This window comes from Homo sapiens, chromosome 5, assembly GCF_000001405.40.
Source record: "Homo sapiens chromosome 5, GRCh38.p14 Primary Assembly".
Taxonomy (NCBI): domain Eukaryota; kingdom Metazoa; phylum Chordata; class Mammalia; order Primates; family Hominidae; genus Homo; species Homo sapiens.
The window spans coordinates 5061244-5078801 of record NC_000005.10 but is presented as its reverse complement, the minus strand read 5'-3'; the positions used below and the strand labels follow the sequence as shown (position 1 = coordinate 5078801).

General features: G+C 41.9%; 2 long non-coding RNA genes across 2 annotated transcripts in view; one reads left to right on the top strand and one right to left on the bottom strand.

The window, feature by feature from the left end:
* The first annotated feature begins 490 nt into the window (after nt 1-490).
* Nucleotides 491-9610, top strand: LINC02121 (long intergenic non-protein coding RNA 2121). Its single transcript, NR_134266.1, has 2 exons — nt 491-598; nt 9287-9610. It is a non-coding gene; the product is annotated as a long intergenic non-protein coding RNA 2121 (long non-coding RNA).
* Nucleotides 8798-17558, bottom strand: part of LINC01020 (long intergenic non-protein coding RNA 1020) — a 35646-nt gene continuing 26885 nt past the window's right edge. Inside the window, exons 5-7 of the long non-coding RNA NR_026994.1 lie at nt 11698-11899; nt 10776-10979; nt 8798-9449 (exon numbers count right to left, since the gene is read on the bottom strand). This is a non-coding gene — a long non-coding RNA (long intergenic non-protein coding RNA 1020). The remainder of the gene's footprint in view (nt 9450-10775; nt 10980-11697; nt 11900-17558) is intronic.

Genomic DNA, 17558 nt, shown 5'->3' with positions numbered 1-17558 from the left:
GCTTGCTTCCCCCCACTCCGCCCCCAACTGGGGAGTGAGGAAATGCAAGGGAATCACCTCGTTTATGCTCTGGTTTCCTTTCAGTGCATTAAAGAATGCCCTTAGGCTGACAAAGCATTAACAGTCAGCAAATGTTTGTTTCATGTTTGCACATTTCTTTTGGCAAACACCCAATTTCCTCTCTAACATTTCTGATCAAGGCTCACTCTTGTCTTGGGGGTAACTTGAAAAGTGAGTAACCAGGATTTTAGTTAACATAACCAAAGTCACAGGCGCATGATATAAATGCTGATTTTGCCCCTGTGATGCCCTTGCAGTTAGCTTTTGAGTGCTCTCCATGTGACCAAGCTGTGCTGCGTGCCTTTTCATTGTGTTTCACATGCCTTTTGGGGTTTGTTTATCACAGATGAAAAAGAACAAAGACAAAAACAAAACTATTTTGGTGCTTTAAAACATCATGATCGGTAACCAGGTTCTACTCTACACAAGAAAACTTTCTAGGATCGCACCCTCCCAAACGGCATGCTAACAGTTGTTTCTTGATCGAAGATATCTGTGATCAAACAAGTTCCAGAAATGCAGGATTGGACCGAGCAAGGTGGGTTTCTTGGAGCAGAACAGTCCTAGCCTTTATTCTGCTGGGGAATCTGTGGCTCATTGTAAGGGAAGTCCAGCATTGGGCAGCACAGGCTTAACAGACAGAGGAGAGCTTTCCTGAGGGTCATTGCAAGGGATCAGTATCTGTTAAGATATTATTTAGGAAATGATATACTCAATTTAGGATTCTAAAGGTGAATTGCTGTGGCTTCTGCTTGCAAACTTTCATGTATTCTAGCTAGGCATACATAAACCAAAAATGAAATTCTAAGCCACCCAGCCAACCGAACGGACCTCCCTTTTGGCAAAGGAAATCCCAAAGAAACTTTAAAAACCACTTCAGGTCATGATGGAAAAGGTGGCCAGACATGCATTATGCCCTCCTCCCTTTAGGAAGCTGGCATAACAGACCAGCATTAATGCTAAAATGGAGATCTTAAGACTGATAAAATGGACTCTTTGTAGCAATAAGATACTGAATTCGAATTCCAACCTGACTCTGGTATAGCATCACATGGCAGAAAACAGATCCTGAAGGAAATCAAAGTATTTTACCCCACTATATATTAATATTTCTTTGACATATTTTGGAGGGGCTCTGCACAGCCTTCTCTTGTGAGGGAAATTTGCATTTTGTAGAGAATGTCCTTCCTTTACTAGATCTTTTCCACAGAGTTTGACACCTTTTAAGGTTGGAAAAGAGACATTTACCATATATTCTCTCTGAAGTCGGCTACCTGGAGTCTTCATCTACATGACAAGAACATCAGCTTCTACAACTTCCCTTATTTTAACACAAGTATGTCTTTCTGCAGACTACAAAGGTTTCAGCAAAGCTTAACTCTTTCAACCAATTGCCAATCAGAAAATCTTTAAATCCAGCCTCTGACCTATGAGCCCCCTTGCTTCTAGATGTTCTGCCTTTCCAGGCTAACTAAATGTATAACTTACAGGTATCAATGTATGTCTTTGCCTGTAACTTCTGCCTCCCTAAAAATGTGTAGAATCAAGCTGTAACTTGACCACCTTGGAGTGTTCTCAGGACCTCTTAAGGCTGTGTCCTGGGCCACGGTCACTCATATTTGGCTCAGAATAAACCTCTTCAAGTATTTTACAGAGTTTAGCTTTTTTTTTCCATTAATACATGTAAGACAAAGTGAAAAATTGAGTAAATTAACTACAACATTATGCATTTACATCTGGAAAGTTCCAACGGTGTGGTGGGTGGTGGAAGGATTCATGAGAGAAGTGCGTAGGACGAGCAGCATGCCATTTAACAAATGCTTTCATGTTGCTCCCCTTGGATAAGTACTACTCTTTCTCTTTACAAACTAAAGTTTATAAACTAAAGTTCTGCTCACATGGATACTGGAAAACATTTTCTACAAGCAGGCTTGCAACTCATTTGATGGTGTATATGACCATCATATATATATATATATATATATATATATATATATATATATATATATATATGTACACATATATGTACACACACATATATATACATGTATATACATATATACTGTCAGGCCTCTGAGCCCAAGCTAAGCCATCATATCCCCTGTGACCTGCACGTACACACCCAGATGGCCGGTTCCTGCCTTAACTGATGACATTCCACCACAAAAGAAATGAAAATGGCCTGTTCCTGCCTTAACTGATGACATTATCTTGTGAAATTCCTTCTCCTGGCTCATGCTGGCTCAAAAGCCCCTACTGAGCACCTTGTGACCCCCACTCCTGCCTGCCAGAGAACAACTCCCCTTTGACTGTAATTTTCCTTTACCTACCCAAATCTTATAAAACGGCCCCACCCATATCTCCCTTCGTTGACTCTTTTCAGACTCAGCCCGCCTGCATCCAGGTGAAATAAACAGCTTTATTGCTCACACAAAGCCTGTTTGGTGGTCTCTTCACACAGACGTGTGTGAAATATACATATATGCATATGTACACAAACACACACATATACATAACTGGCAAATGGATGCCCATTTTTTTCTGAGGATAATGAGACATAATTTGTACATTGTGGAAAGAAAAGAATGAACAACTAAATATTGTGCTTTAAAGTTAATTTTGAATCATGATGTAATTCTTCTCCTATATTATCTGCCTATTTACTTCATAAATAAATGTACTAACTGCCTCTGAACTGTACACTTAAAATGGTTACACTTTAAACTGTTTAATTCTATACTATGTGTAATTTACTTCAACAAAAACAAATCAGCAGAGGCTGGATGTATCCATAAATATTTATTGTCTCACCAATCAAAACGGAAATGGTATACTTTGCAAATAATAGGATTTATTTGACATACGATAGTTTTGCCAGAGTTCTCTATTTGTTAAAATAATTTTAAGTAATTTGTTTTCACTTATGAAGTCAATGTAAAAAAAAATTATGGCATCTTACCAAAAATCCATAACTCCAGGCTAATCATGAGAAGACATTAAATAAATCCAAATTGAGGAATATTCAACAAAACACCTGACAAGCAATCTTCAAAACTGTCAAATACAAGGAAAGACTGAGAAGCTGCCACAATCAGAAGAGATGAAGGTAACATGAATAAATGCAACTTGAAGAATTGGCCAGGCCCTGGCACTCCTTGGGCTTCGTGCCCAGGAAACCACCCTGGTGATGTGGAGTCCTGCATTGGACAGAAGGGTGCTAATCCCAGCACTTTGGGAGGCCGAGGAGGGTGGATCACGAGTTCAGGAGATCGAGACCATCCTGGCTAACACGGTGAAACCCGGTCTCTACTAAAAATACAAAAAAGTAGCTGGGAGTGGTGCCGGACGCCTGTAGTCACAGCTACTCGGAAGGCTAAGGCAGGAGAATGGTGTGAACCCGGGAGGCAGAGCTTGCAGTGAGCCAAGATTGCACCACTGCACTCCAGCCTGGGTGACAGAGTGAGACCCCGTCTCAAAAAAAAAAAAAAAAAAAGAAGGGTGCCGTTCTGTGGAAAGACTGCTGAAGTCTGAATGAAGCCTGGAATTTAGTTACTGGTACTGCACTCATATTATTTTTTTACTTTTAATAAATATATAACAATAAATTACATATTGGGGTAAGAGAACCCTTTCTCTCCCCTGTTGAGGTTTGATATTTGAATCTGAGAAATGAACTGAAATAGACTGATTAATAGGAGATAAGACATAAATTTATTAGGTGCATGGAAATATCACAATACCTAACAATCCAATGAGACTTATATAACCTTTTTCACAGGGGAAAGGGAAGTAGGGGCTGTAGGCACTGTTAGAAGAAAAGTAAATGATTTTTGGGGGAGATGAATGGGCTTGAAGAACCAACAAATGCCTGGGACAGAGTCTATCTGGGCTCTGGGTGTGGTGTCCACTCTAGTCTCTTCTCCCATGAGTTAATCTTCATTGTTTTATGAAATTATAAGAAGCAGGCTCTGCACAACTGCATTCCTTCCAGAGGAACTTCCCTTAGTTCGGGAAGTGAACCTCAGATAAGGTCCCTTGCCTGTACTTCTGAAGTGGCAGAAGGACAAGAATCTTGCATGGGGGCGTCATAGAGACTTTGGTTCTGGGGCTGCTCCTTTGGTTCAAAGAGGCCAGCAGGTCAAAGCACCATACTTTGAGGCATTGTTTTCTGAACCCCAACATGTGTAAACTGATAACATTAGAGATAGCTGGGTGGAAGATACCTGGAAACTCTCTGTAGTATCTTTGCAACTCTTCCATAAATTTAACATTATTTCAATGTGAAAAATTTTAAAGTAAGAAAATAATGAGATAGAGAATTTTTAAAAGTCTCTTTCAAAAGTTTATAAATAAATGGGACTCAATCATCTAGAAATTCAGGTAATTTTATTTAGGTTATCTAGAAATTGAATGCTTCTATCAACTTCAACTTAATTGGTTGGTTGTATGTCAACTGAAATAGATGAAAGTTTCAGCCCCTTGCATCTTTGGTTGTATGTCTAGGGGAGGTTCATTAACCTCTTGGTGCTTCAGTTCCTCATCTGAGAAACAAGGTATTTTAGTGAGTTCTGGCTGTCATAACAAAACCCCATAGGCTGTTGGACTTAAACAACTGAAATGCGTTTTCTCAGAGTTCTGGAGGCTGGAAGTCTGAGATCAGGGTGCCAGCTTGGTTGGTTTCTGATGAGGACTCTTCCTGGCTTGCTAACAGCCACCTTCTTGCTTAAGGGTCTTTCTGGCTTATGGGAAGGGACAGGGTGAGCTCTCCAAAGTCTCATCTTATAAGGGCACTAATTCTGTCATGGGCACCTATATTTAATCCATTTTCACACTGCTATAAAGAACCACTGGGTAATTTATGAAGAAAAAAGGTTTAATGGACTCATAGTTCTGCGGGCTTAACAGGAAGCATGACTGGGAGGCCTCAGGAAACTTACAATCACGGTGGAATGTGAAGGGGAAGCAAGCACCTTCTTCACATGGCAGCAGGAGAGAAAGAGTGGGAAGTGCCACACATTTTTAAACCATCAGATCTCATGAGAACTCACTCACTATCATGAGAATAGCAAGGGGGAAATTCGCCCCCATTATCCAATCACCTCCCACCAGGTCCATCCTCCAATTGGACATGAGATTTGGGCAGGGACACAAATCCAAACATATCAGAATCCCACTCTCGGGACCCCATGTAAACATGATTATCTCCCAGGGTCCCACCTCCCAATACCATCACATTGGAGATTGGGGGTTTAATTTATGAATATCAGGGAGACATAATTAAGTCCATTGCATGGGAATGTGCATACCAATAAGGCAACTTGTTTCTGCTGAGTGACATTATGTTTACAATGGTCTGTGAAGTTGCTGCCACGTGGCTGCCCTTTACTGAGCACCAGTACTGTTGTGTGGCTATCAGTGTGATTCCCCAGAACCTCTGTCGATATGAACAGTGATCATAGATTTAGTTCAGCATCTCCCTAACAACAAAAGGGTAAGATACTTAACTACATTAAAAAGTGACAGATGACATCACTGTCAGGAATAGATAAAAACTCTTTGACTCTTAATTTAATCCAGACCATTTACTTGACATAAGTAACTTTGCATCCACCAGGAGGAAAGGGGGATCAAAAATCCATCCATGCCAGAGTGATAAGCTCAGGCAGTGCAGGATAGGGGAAAATAATGCCACGTTAGAAAGAAGGATGACACAGCAAGGAAGGCAGAAGGCAGGACCTCCATCCTCACAACAGTGATGGCAGCAATGCCACCAGAATAGAACAGGAAGGTGTTGGGGAACCCTCTCCGTGGAAGGGCATTAGAACTGAATCCTGAAAGATCTGGATCTGAGGGACTCACCGGAATATAAAGGGGACAAAGAAAACACAATGAATACAAAACGGTCTGGAGGCCTGTCCCCAGAGATTTCAGGCTGGAAACAAATCTGACTGGGTTGTTCTATAGGTACACCCTCTGTATTTCTTTGTACATGGTAAAACACTTGGGAACACAAAGCCATCCAGCAGGACCATCACCACCACTTTATTTTGACTGAGCCCCAGCTCCAGAGAAGAAGCTTAGAGCCAGGGCATCTTCCTCCTGGAGACACCCTCTCACTGGCCTCCTCTGTTCCCTGAGCTGTGCATGAAGAAAGGGCTGTAACCAGGAAGTGAGTTTTTGTCCAAAAGGGTTGAATTTCAATGGGTCAAGACTTGGATGTCATAGTGTGTGATGGTTAATATTTAGTATCAACTTGATTGGATTGAAAGATGTAAAGTATTGTTCTTGGGTGTGTCTGTGAAGGTGTTGCCAAAGGAGATTAACATTTGAGTAAGTGGCCTGGGAGAGGCAGACCCACCTTCAATCTGTGTGGGCACAATCTAATCAGCTGCCAGTATGGCCAGAATAAAAGTAGGCAGAAGAATATGGAAAGACTAGACTGGTTTAGTCTCCCAGCCTGTATCTTTCTCCTGTGCTGGATGATTCCTGCCTATGAACATGGGACTCCAATTTCTTCAGCTTTGGGGCTCTTGGGACTTCAACCACAGACTGAAGGCTGCACTGTCGGCTTCCCTACTTTTGAGGTTCTGGGACTTGGATTGACTTCCTTGCCCTTCAGCTGCAGACAGCCTATTGTGGGACCTCACCTTGTGATTGTGTGAATCAATACTCCTTAATAAATTCCCCTTTATAAATACATCTATCCTATCAGTTCTGTTCCTCTAGAGAATCCTGATCAATACACAGTGCCATATGCAGCTTTTATTCCAACGAAGTTAAACCTGAGAAAGAGGCCACACAGTTGGTTCTCCTCTCTGCTCCTCAGAGGAGAAGTCCACTTGCCTTCCTGGTGACTGACAGGCTGTGAGGTTCCTGTTTCATTGTCGGTCACCATTTTTCCACCCCAAACTCAACAACAGGTCGGGACACACAGAAGCTCAGAGAAGTGTGCACGTTTCTACACTGCTGGACAGCTCAATGCTCATGTCCCTGGAGCTCTCCAAGGTTGACCTTCATGTCTCGCAGGAAGGACATTTCAGCCAGCCTTCGTCCCCCATAGAGCAGAGCCTGGGGTGAGAAGTAGGTGCCAGTCCTTCATGAGGTGGTGAGGGTGGTGAGACAAGAACACTGTGAAGCAGAAGTGGTGTGATGTCCAGCATTGCCCCTGCTCCAGGAGCCCCCAGGAGGCCCACCAGCCTCTCAGCAGGTGGCCCTATGGTCCATAGGACTTCTCCAGGAGAGCTGAAGGGAGGGATCACACCTCAGAAAATTCTGGAGAGGGAGGGAGGGGATCTTTGATCTACCTTGCTTCCTCCCACCTCCCTCCACCTTAGAAGAGCTGCCTTATAGGCACTTCCAGGTGTCCCCTCCTTTCCTGGGCAGCGGGGAGCCAGGCCAATGTCCTGGATCATGGGATTGTGTCAGTGTCAAAAAGGAGGCTGCCGAGACACAGGCAGAGCACAGAGCATGAGGGAGAGAGAAAGAAGGGTCGGAGGAGGCTGAGAAGGGTTGCAAGACCAAGCTCTCAAAATGGCCCTAGAAGTGTTTTATCTTTCCTCGTCTTTGGCATTTTAAAAAATGGTCATTCAGGCATGACAGAGCAGGGCTGGGCCAGAATATTCAGCTCACTGAAACACATGTTCGTTTGTTGTTCTGGATAAAGGATGTGAGGTAATGAATAATTCGTGAAGTTTGGTGGAGAATTTGGCCAAATTTTGAAGGCACTGGAAAGAAAAGCATTGTTTCTGCATGTTAGTGAAAGAGTAATGAAGAGCACAGCAGGGCAGTGAGGCTCAGGGGTGAGAAGCCGCCAGGGAAACAGGATCCCTGAAGAGGATGCATGGTCTTGATTATCTGGGATGATGCTGGGGATTCTGAGATGGAACCTGCTCCTTTTTAAGTACCACCTTAGTGCCATCAAAGGAATATGGCTATGAGTGGGTTGAATAACATTTGGATACACTATCTGAATGTCTTAGTACAATTTGCCAGGTCTAAGAGAGAGTACGTTTTCATTTTAGTAATAGCTTTTGGGTTCTCATTTCTCTCTGGTGGCATTATTTATTTCCCTTGGGCTCCTGGTTTAAAATGAAGGGTTCATGGATTGGTCTGATATCAAATCACTAACACAGCAGACACCAAAGTGAAAAGAGAGTCCCAGGAAGGGCAACGAGCCCAACGATCTTGCCTTTTTGATGATTCCCATAAATCCAAGCATTTTGCTAAAATTAAAATGGCAACCTCAAAATCAGGCACAGTGGTAATCTAGAAGCAAAGTTAGTACATTGCTGGAGAAAATAAAGAGAGAAATTAGAAACGAAAGCCCGTTTAGACTGACAAAGGATGGAGAGGGAGAATTCAGAGGAAACAAAGGGAAATTATACATTGTACACATACACACTTAGGATCGGGGACTACAAGGTCACACTGTTACTATGAAAGCAGACTGTTAAGTTTTATGATGCTGGGAGACAAATGCCTTCCAAGAAAAAGTAAAAAATCCCGCTAGGTTTATACAGTCCTAGCCAGCAAAGTTTATGCTTTCAGAAAAATGTGTCTGAAAACAGGGGATTACAATACAAACCATTGTGTACCACCCCCTCCTGCCCTTGAGTTCCATGATGGCTTTCACAGATAGACATAGGAGATATTGAGCTCGAATTCTGCGGTGGACGGGGGTTTCTTTGCCTCTGGTGGAATTCCTTTCCCTCTGAAATGCCCTTATTCTCAAGGACAATTTTCTTTCTCCGTGGTTTATTGTCTGAGCAAGACTTTCTTGTAGGCAAGGAATCTTTGGCTACACTGAGCAGTGCCAAGAACAGTCAACAATAAACAAATAGTCATAACATTCAGCAGCATGTCAGTTATTGGAATGCAAAAGATAATGGTGGAGCAGGCTGAGAGGGCTTTGCATTTCTCTCCCTCCAGCCCTAGAGATTGCTTGCAAGTTTTCCTTCACGTTTTAAAAATATTGGAGCTGCTTCTTAAATATTGTAATGGCCTTTTCCTCCCTCACATTCACTTCGACCCAGATTTCTGACTTAGCTCTAACAGGACACAAAACTGTCATCTCTACCCAGCACTTGCTATGTCTACTCATAGTCCTATTGTTTAAGTTTATTGCCTATTTTTTAGCTGGTATTCTGCATATATCTATTTGTGTTTATGATATGGTCAACTCATAGGTTTTGCTCTCTCATGCTTTGTGTCTATGCTTCTCTGCCAGGCAGCAAACCCTGCAATTTGCTTTTGAATCCTACAACGGAGTACTTGGATGGATGGGGTGGTTGCAGGATGCCTTTGAAGGATACTTGTGAAGGTGGAACCACCGTGGCTTGGAAGCTTCGCAGATGTCGCTGTCTCCAAGGATCAATTGCAAACACAATGACCTGATGAGCAGAGAAATCCCATCTTAGAAAAAAAGAGAGAGCTGAGTCTACAGAGCCGCTACTTAGGAGTCTGACTTCATAATCAATTGTGAAATGTGGAATATAATAGAAATTTAAATTCTATCTACATTATGTTAGGGTTAATAAAAAAAAAGGGCATATATGAGTAGTCTTTAAAAATTCCTTCTCGTGACTCCAGTTAAATAGGCTGAAATGAATTCGTTTAATATGCCTTTCCACATTCTATGTTAGCCATTTTATTCTTTGAATTATCACATACACAACATTCAATACTATTTTTAAAATAAATCCTAGAATCCCACCTCATACCATTTGCTGAGATTTTCCATTTAAGTTTCTTTGATGTGGCCTCTGGTAATGTGGATGTGCCTGTGTGTGGATGTGTGTGTATGTGAGTGTGTGAGAGAGAGAAATAAGTGTGTACAAGTCACCCTGGAACAGCGGGGTATTAAAGGAGCCAAACTCTGCATAGAAAAAAAAATCCATGCATAAATTTTTACTCCTCAAAACCTGAATCACTAATATCCTACTGCTGACTGGAAGCCTTACTGATAATATAAACAATAGATTAATGTGCATATTTTATGCATTCATAACATATCTAACATTTTGTAATTGTAAAAATATTTCTAGGCTACACAATTCATCTGTGAGTTTTTAAAAATTGTTGCAAACCTCCAAAATTGTTCCAATGTATTGATTGAAAAAAGAAATCCACATATAAGAACCTGTGCAGTTGAAACCTGTGATATTAAAGAGACTATTGTACTATGCTTTCAGCATGTGGGCATTTAGTGGGGTTGGTAGGCTGGGAAACTTACTCTAAAGCTTTTGGTGATGTAGAATACACTGGGTATACAGTACAAAACAAAATTACCAGGAGGACTGCATTTCAATAGAGTGAAAAGAATATTCAAAATGTATAAAAGATTTTCAGTAAAGGTCAGCACATTTGAAGAAGTAGGTAAAAACTTAGATAAATCTTATATAATATTTACTCAGGATAGATGATTAATTTTTTTGTTTCTGAATAAACTTTATTTTTAGAGCTATTTTAGGTTTATAGAAAAATTACACAGAAAGTACAGAGTTCTCATATACACCACCCCGTCCTCTACAGTTCCCCTTTTATTATTAACAACGTGCATGAGTGTGGTATATTTGCAACAACTGAGGAATCAATATTGATGAGGCAGTTTGAGTAGAGCCTCTGACCTGGACACCTAAGAGTTCCCTGCAGAATGGCTGACTTAGGATCTGAATCTGGGTTCACCTTCTTTTGCATCTATGGGAATGATAGTCTACCTTGTTTTATTTGACTTTCTTCAAATTGAAGCCTTCTTCTAAAGCAAACTCATGGAGGTTGTCTGCAGGCAGAAGGTGGCTGAAGAAGCTCTTCTCGCAGTCCACTTCCAGGAAAGACACTAAAGGAGAGGAAGAACCAGGGCTCCCCTTTTTATTACTCTCATATCCTCAGCAAAGGCTTGGTGTGAAATCCGGAACTGGGTGCTGTGAAGGCAACTATGAATTACTGGGAAAGAGTACAAACTATTTTGTAAATGCATTTACACACCTTTTTTTTTTTTTTTAACAAAAATACATAGTTTGAAACATGCCAATTCAACCCAGCAGAATTGCTGACTGCTGACAGTGCACGGTCTGTGACTTCACAGACCTATAGGTCTTATGAGCTCAGATTTCTGAAAATATGTTTTTATTCATCTGAACAGCCTTTACTCAGAAATAGGAATTGAGGGAGAAATGTCAAAATGGAGAGGACATTAAGTGTTTGCTAATATATTTGACTTTAGTTTCCTTGGATTCAATTTGGCAGCATGTATTTAACTTAAAACTCCCTTAGTTGTTTCTAAGAATAAATGGAAAGAAAAAATTCCCTTGGCAGAGAGAGAGATTAAATGTGTGAGACCTGGAGTGTGTTGGGGTGGTCGGGGGATGGCCAGCACTGGCTCTGCCTCCGCAGTGGGATGATCACGACTCGACTTTATCTGTCTGGGTTGCCATTCATTTTAATTCTAAAATGAGGCCTTCTAGCTCTAAAGGTAACAATTGTATCTGCAGTTAAATAATTCTTAGTGCATGATCATAGGAGGACCAGAAATATAATTTTTCTTGAAGTCAAATTAAATTCAACTTCAAGTTAAATCCATGTATTTGTTCAGAAAATTGTTGAATTGCCCTTAATATTTCATCTATTGCAATGCCACACCAGGTATCTTCATAGCACAATCTCCACAGTGTTGACATCTTTCTGGGGAGAGAAGGTTGAGGAGGAGAGGGACATCTGTGCTTTGGAAGCATCATCCACTGTTCATCTCTTGGAGACGCTGTGATAGTGAGTAACTTGTTATCACAGTTGTCATCGACTTCATTGGGCAATCTGTTAACTAATGGTATTTCAACTGCTTTTCCTGAGGAAAGAAAAGAGAATTAGATCAGTGCCAAAAAAAGTGGGCTTTTTGTCTGTTTCTTTTAAAAATTTTTAAATAAATTGCTTTCTTTTCTCCTCCTTAATCAGTGTTTCTCAACCCTGGAAGCATGTCAGAACCACCTGGAGAGCAATAAAAATACCAATGACATCATCTGGGCCCAGGCCAACTAAATCAGACTCTCAGGGGAACAGGGCTGACTTTTTTTCCCCCCTCTTGAGGGCGGGGGCCTGTTTTTGTTTCAGTTCTTTTCAGTTCTTTCCCCATAGAAAGAACTTGTGCTGCTAGTTGTCCAGAGACCACACTTTGAGCCACTGCCTCCTCAGTGACTTTTAAGGCAGTAGTTCTAAAGTGTGGTCCCCAGACAACTAGCAGCACCAGTATCTCCTGCCCAGGAAGTGCCAATTTCCTCCCAGCCCTGCTGGCTGAGAAGCTCTGGGTGTGGGTCCAGCAGTCTGTGCTGTAAGGAGTCCTCCAGGTGCTGCTGCAGTGGGCTGAAGTCCGAGAACCACCCATCTAAGGTCTATGGCTTCAACTCTCCCGTCTCAAGTGCAGTCTCAACTTTCTCTCTCTACCTTCGTTCAGCTGGCTCCAGGTGTGCATCTAGGTGTCCCAGCAATGCCTTGTATTCATGTCCAATACAAGACCGAGTCTTTGCTTGTTGTTACTTAACATGCTCCTCACCATGATTCTGAGGTTTAGGCTCAACAACTGACAGCTGTCTTCAGTTTCACCTGGTTTCCTTCGCCTGGCAATTGATCTGTCCCTGAGCCTGTGTGCCTCTCCCTTGCCCTCCCCTTTGCCACGGTGCTGGCTGTGCTCTTATTATCACTCTGCCATGAGCTCCCACTGCCATGAGCTCCCACAGAAACCCTTCTGGAGAGGAGGAGGACTCTTTCTTCATCTCTCCAGCTATCATCCTTATCATCTTTGTTGCTTTGTTCCAAAAAACCTTCAGTTCTCATCAAAGCCCTCTGCCTGTCTTAGCACCATAGATAGACCCATTACTTCACAAAAATTAGTACCAGATACAAGTCCTTGTCTCTCATCTGATCTGGTGACACCTATCCCCACCAAGTTGCTTTGCTGTATGCCCTCCTCAGACCCCAGAGGCTGGCAGCGTGAGCCGCCCTGGGCTTCCTGCCTCTACAGCTGGCATCACATCACAGCTTCTGCTGGAAGCTCCCTCCTGAGGTCTATCCTCATATCTGTCATCTATCCTTCAAGAGTCGGCTAAATTTTGACTGCCTCCCACCCAGCAGGAATCACTTCCTCATTTGTGTTCCTGTAGGATTTTCTTCATAACATTTATAACACTTGACACATTAATATGAGTCTAGCTTTTTTAATGACAAACAGGACCTAAACTTAGAAGCGCATTCTCTCTCTCACCACCCAAGCTTCAAACATGGGTTAAGTGTTGGCTCATTTCTTTCTCTCCTTGGATTACTCCTTGACCTTTAACTTCTTTAGCCTTCTGCTCCTATCATCTGCTTGGATGTCCGTGGCATCAGTAAACACACATAAGCAAAGCTTTGTCAGGGGCCTCTCCAAACAGATTCCCTATAGATTTTTTTCCAATTTTCTTAATGGTATTACCACTGTCAATGATTCAACGTGAATCCTTGAAGGTATTTCTGACATACACCCCTTCCACTCCCATATCTATAATTTGCTCCGAAGTGTTGATTCTTTCATTTATTTTTTTATTTTTTGAGACTGAGTCTTGTTCTATCACCCAGGCTGAAGTGCAGTGGTGCCATCTCATCTCACTGCAACCTCCGCCTCCCAGGTTCGAGCGTTCTCGTGCCTCAGCCTCCTGAGTAGATGGAATTATAGGCGCCTGCCACCACATCCAGCTAATTTTTGTATTTTTAGTAGAGACGGGGTTTGACCATGTTGGCCAGGCTGGTCTCAAACTCCTTACCTCAATTGATCCACCTGCCTTGGCCTCCCATAGTGCTGAGATTACAGGCATGAGCCAGCATGCCCGGCTTGTTTTATTCTTTATGATAGGAATTTTCCTCCTTAGTCAACAACCTAGTTGATCTCTTATACATTTATGCCTGCTAAATGTGGAGCAAACAGGCTGGAGCAAGTCTTTGGGCAAGGATGACCTTCTCCTGTGTTCTCCACTGTGAGTGCTAAAACCTAATGCCATAGGCAGGACCCATGACAACTATAGCACTGTACAGAAGGGACAACTGTTAAGAACCTAAGGAAGACAAATGAAGATATGCTTATGAATGATTACCCCACATTAGGGAATGAGCATGGTGCACATTTTACTTCCGTTCATAAACAAGAAATTAACTTCACTGTCTTTTGCCTCACCTCTGGACACATTCTTAGCTTCTCAAATCTCCCGTCTCACCCTTGAACACTTTGTCAAACAGGTTTCCCATCTTTTCCATTAGTTTCAGTAGGACATGCTCATTTTTTAGCAATTTAGAAAGTTGAGACTGTTTCCTGTTTCAATTTCTCATAACACCCAAGGCATACATCCTTCCCTATGGAGAGACCATCACCAGCTTGACAATTTGGAGCAGGAGGATGCCAGCCTGCCTGGTTTTCCTCGCTCCTCCTTTTGGGTGGAGGTCAGGACTTGGAAAGTGGAGACATAAAGGGTTAGAAAGTCTTTCTGGATGAGGCAGCAGCTATCTGGGTTAGTGCCATGTTCCTGGCAAGGAGGGGGGCATGCTGGCTCTGTCTCTCTTTCTCTCATGGTACCTGTAGAAACCTCACAGACCTGCTGTCCACTCAGCCTGTGGTTCCCTGGCAAAGTCTGAGCTCTGCTCCTACGCTTGATTGTGGCACCCTGTGCCTTCTGTTCCAGGATACCCCAAAGTTCCTTTCTGATAGAATTGCATCCCCTGGCAGGCAGGGTTCTTGGCAGGGCCTTCCACATTATGCAATCCTATCTATTTCTGGAAGGATCTTCTTGGGCCATGGGACAGGTCAGTGTCATGCCCCAACCACTGGCACAAGAACTCCCCTCAACTGGCCAGCAGGGGCTGCTCCTACCTGCCCAGATGAGAGTCTAGTGTCAATGTTGGTCTCCTACACGCTCTGGGAGGTGCACAGTGAATGCTCTCCCCAGAGAACTCCCCTAGGGCTTCGCAGGGAGCTTCTGCAGCTCAGAAAGCCCCCAGCAGGGGTGAGGGTAGGGAGATAGATGTGAGTCTTCATTCCAGCAGATCACCTTTGCTCTCTGATTTTTTCTCTCCAAGACACTTGTTTGTTTTGATGTGAGAAAGGAATGTAGAGCATTCCAATAACTTTGCCTGATAAATCCTCAATCTTTTTCTCACTGTAAATCATTAACATTCTCTATTATACTCTGGACGTGAGTGAATAGTCTCAGAACCAGGTTTGGGCCACCACATGTACTGTATGCACAGTTCTGCATCTCTTTTCAGAATGTGGTATGATTGAGACATGTTCTTCTCAGCTTTGATGACTCAGGTGAGACCAGAAAAAACAAAATTTAACATCTGGCTGCACAGTTAATTGTAGCAATATAGGTATATATATATATAGGTGTGTGTGTGTGTGTATATATATATATATATATATATATATGTATAATGTGACTTAGAGTAGCAAGTTCAAATCCAGATCAGAGCTAACTTGCTCCAGAACTGACAGAAGCTCCATAGCCTAGGTAGTATCTGTCTCGTTCAGTCCAACTGCCTCTTCTCCCACAATGGCCATGTTTCATGGTCTCATCCACTTTCTGTTCTCTTATTTTTCTCGTCAAGCCTCCCGTAGCATGGGAAGTTTCCCGTGTGCCTCTGTATGTGCACACATGCTCATGTACACTTAGTGTACACTTAGCTGGGCATATAATCTCAGATTTTGCAAATTTACTTGATCAATGTTAAAATTAAAAGGGGAAATTGTAGTCAGTTTTGTTCACAGGGCAGTTTTTCTTCTTCTGTTAAGCTTTACAAAAATATTTATTATCAGTGTGTAACTCCTCTCCCAATTCGCAGCTTCCTGGGGCTTGTATTTTTAAATTATTTTAATAACATCCTGGTGCACAGTGCTCTCTGCATTTTCTGCCTGAGCACCCTGGGAAGGCTTAGGAGGGTCCCAGGGGGAATCAGAGCCTGGAATCTTCTTTTCCCAAAGCCCCATTGGTTGGTGTTTAAATAGTAACTAATTTCCTTTTGTCTCTAGAAGTTCCATAGGCAGATTGCCAGCTGCCTTAGGTCTGCAGCTCTTGACTTTGCCAACCTTTAAGACATTGACTAAGCATATTAGATTAAAAAGGAAAACTCTCTCTTCCCATTATTTATAATTACTATGTTTCCAATTCAGTTTCTGTAAATATGTGTCATTAATATTGAACAAATTCTACATTAAATTAAAATGAACATATTTCATTTTACTTATAATTTACAACCATGCTTATTTCTTAATTATTTTACTTTGAATTACTAGATCAGGTTTCCAAGTTTAGCCCCGTGTTAATTTGCACAAATGGCTGGAGGTGGTCTGGGGAATTTATAAAAAGCTCAACCGTTTTGCTATCCACAAGGTGAACATGTTCTTTGCAGTAGAAGAAACCGAACTCTTCTATTTTTGGTCACTGAAACATCCATATTAAAAAAACAATTTTAAAGGAAACCGTTTAAATGCAAGTCAGCAAACACATGAAAAGAGTCTCCCCAAAAGGATAGATTAATTTAGTTTTATTCCAGGAGGGCAGCAGAACGAATCACAGGAAGTGTCACTGACATGGGTGTTTTCTTCTTTGGCGGAGAGGCTGACCAAGAATCGCCTGGGGAAAGCACCTCTAAAAAGAAAGAATTCATCGGGACGTTGACAGCTAGAACTCAAACCGTATGTGGTCGCCATCTTGTCGCCTCACTCCATATCCTTCATTTTGGTTCTTCGTTCCCAGCGGAAGCCTCAGCCTTCCTTGGAGGACTTTTTGAAAAGGTTTTCCGTTCTGCAATTTCACACTCACATTTTGAAAGAACATATAGTTGAATCTCGATTTCTTAATTAACATCAAGAGTGAAATAATACCTCCTGGATGAGTATTACTCTTCTTCCCTTATCCAGGTACCATTTCTGAGTTTGGAGTGAGGTCATATAACATTTCAGTGCAAATTTAAATTTTAAGTATAAAGCAAGAATGTTTTTAAAGTATTTGCATTAAGCTTCAAAAATACATGCATGGCAATTGTTTCTGTTTAAATAAATGCTTTAATGTTGTCCATTTGTCGGATATCTTTCTTCTGTACCATCCTTTCCTCTTTATTGATTTCTTTATCCTGGTTCACTTAAAAAATTCGTGTGTTACAGGACGGGGAACATCACACACCGGGGCCTGTTGTGGGGTTGGGGGATGGGGGAGGGATAGCATTGGGAGAAATACCTAATGTAAATGACGAGTTAATGGGTGCAGCAAACCAACATGGCACATGTGTACATATGTAACAAACCTGCACGTTGTGCACATGTACCCTAGAACTTAAAGTATAATAATAAAAAATTTAAAAAATTCATGTGTTAAAAGAGGTATTAAATGATATATTTCCTATTTTATTTATGTAATTTTTAATTAATTTTGGCTGTTGCACATGTATGAGGGTTAGTTGAGTGTTGAACTCAAGAGTCATAATCATTT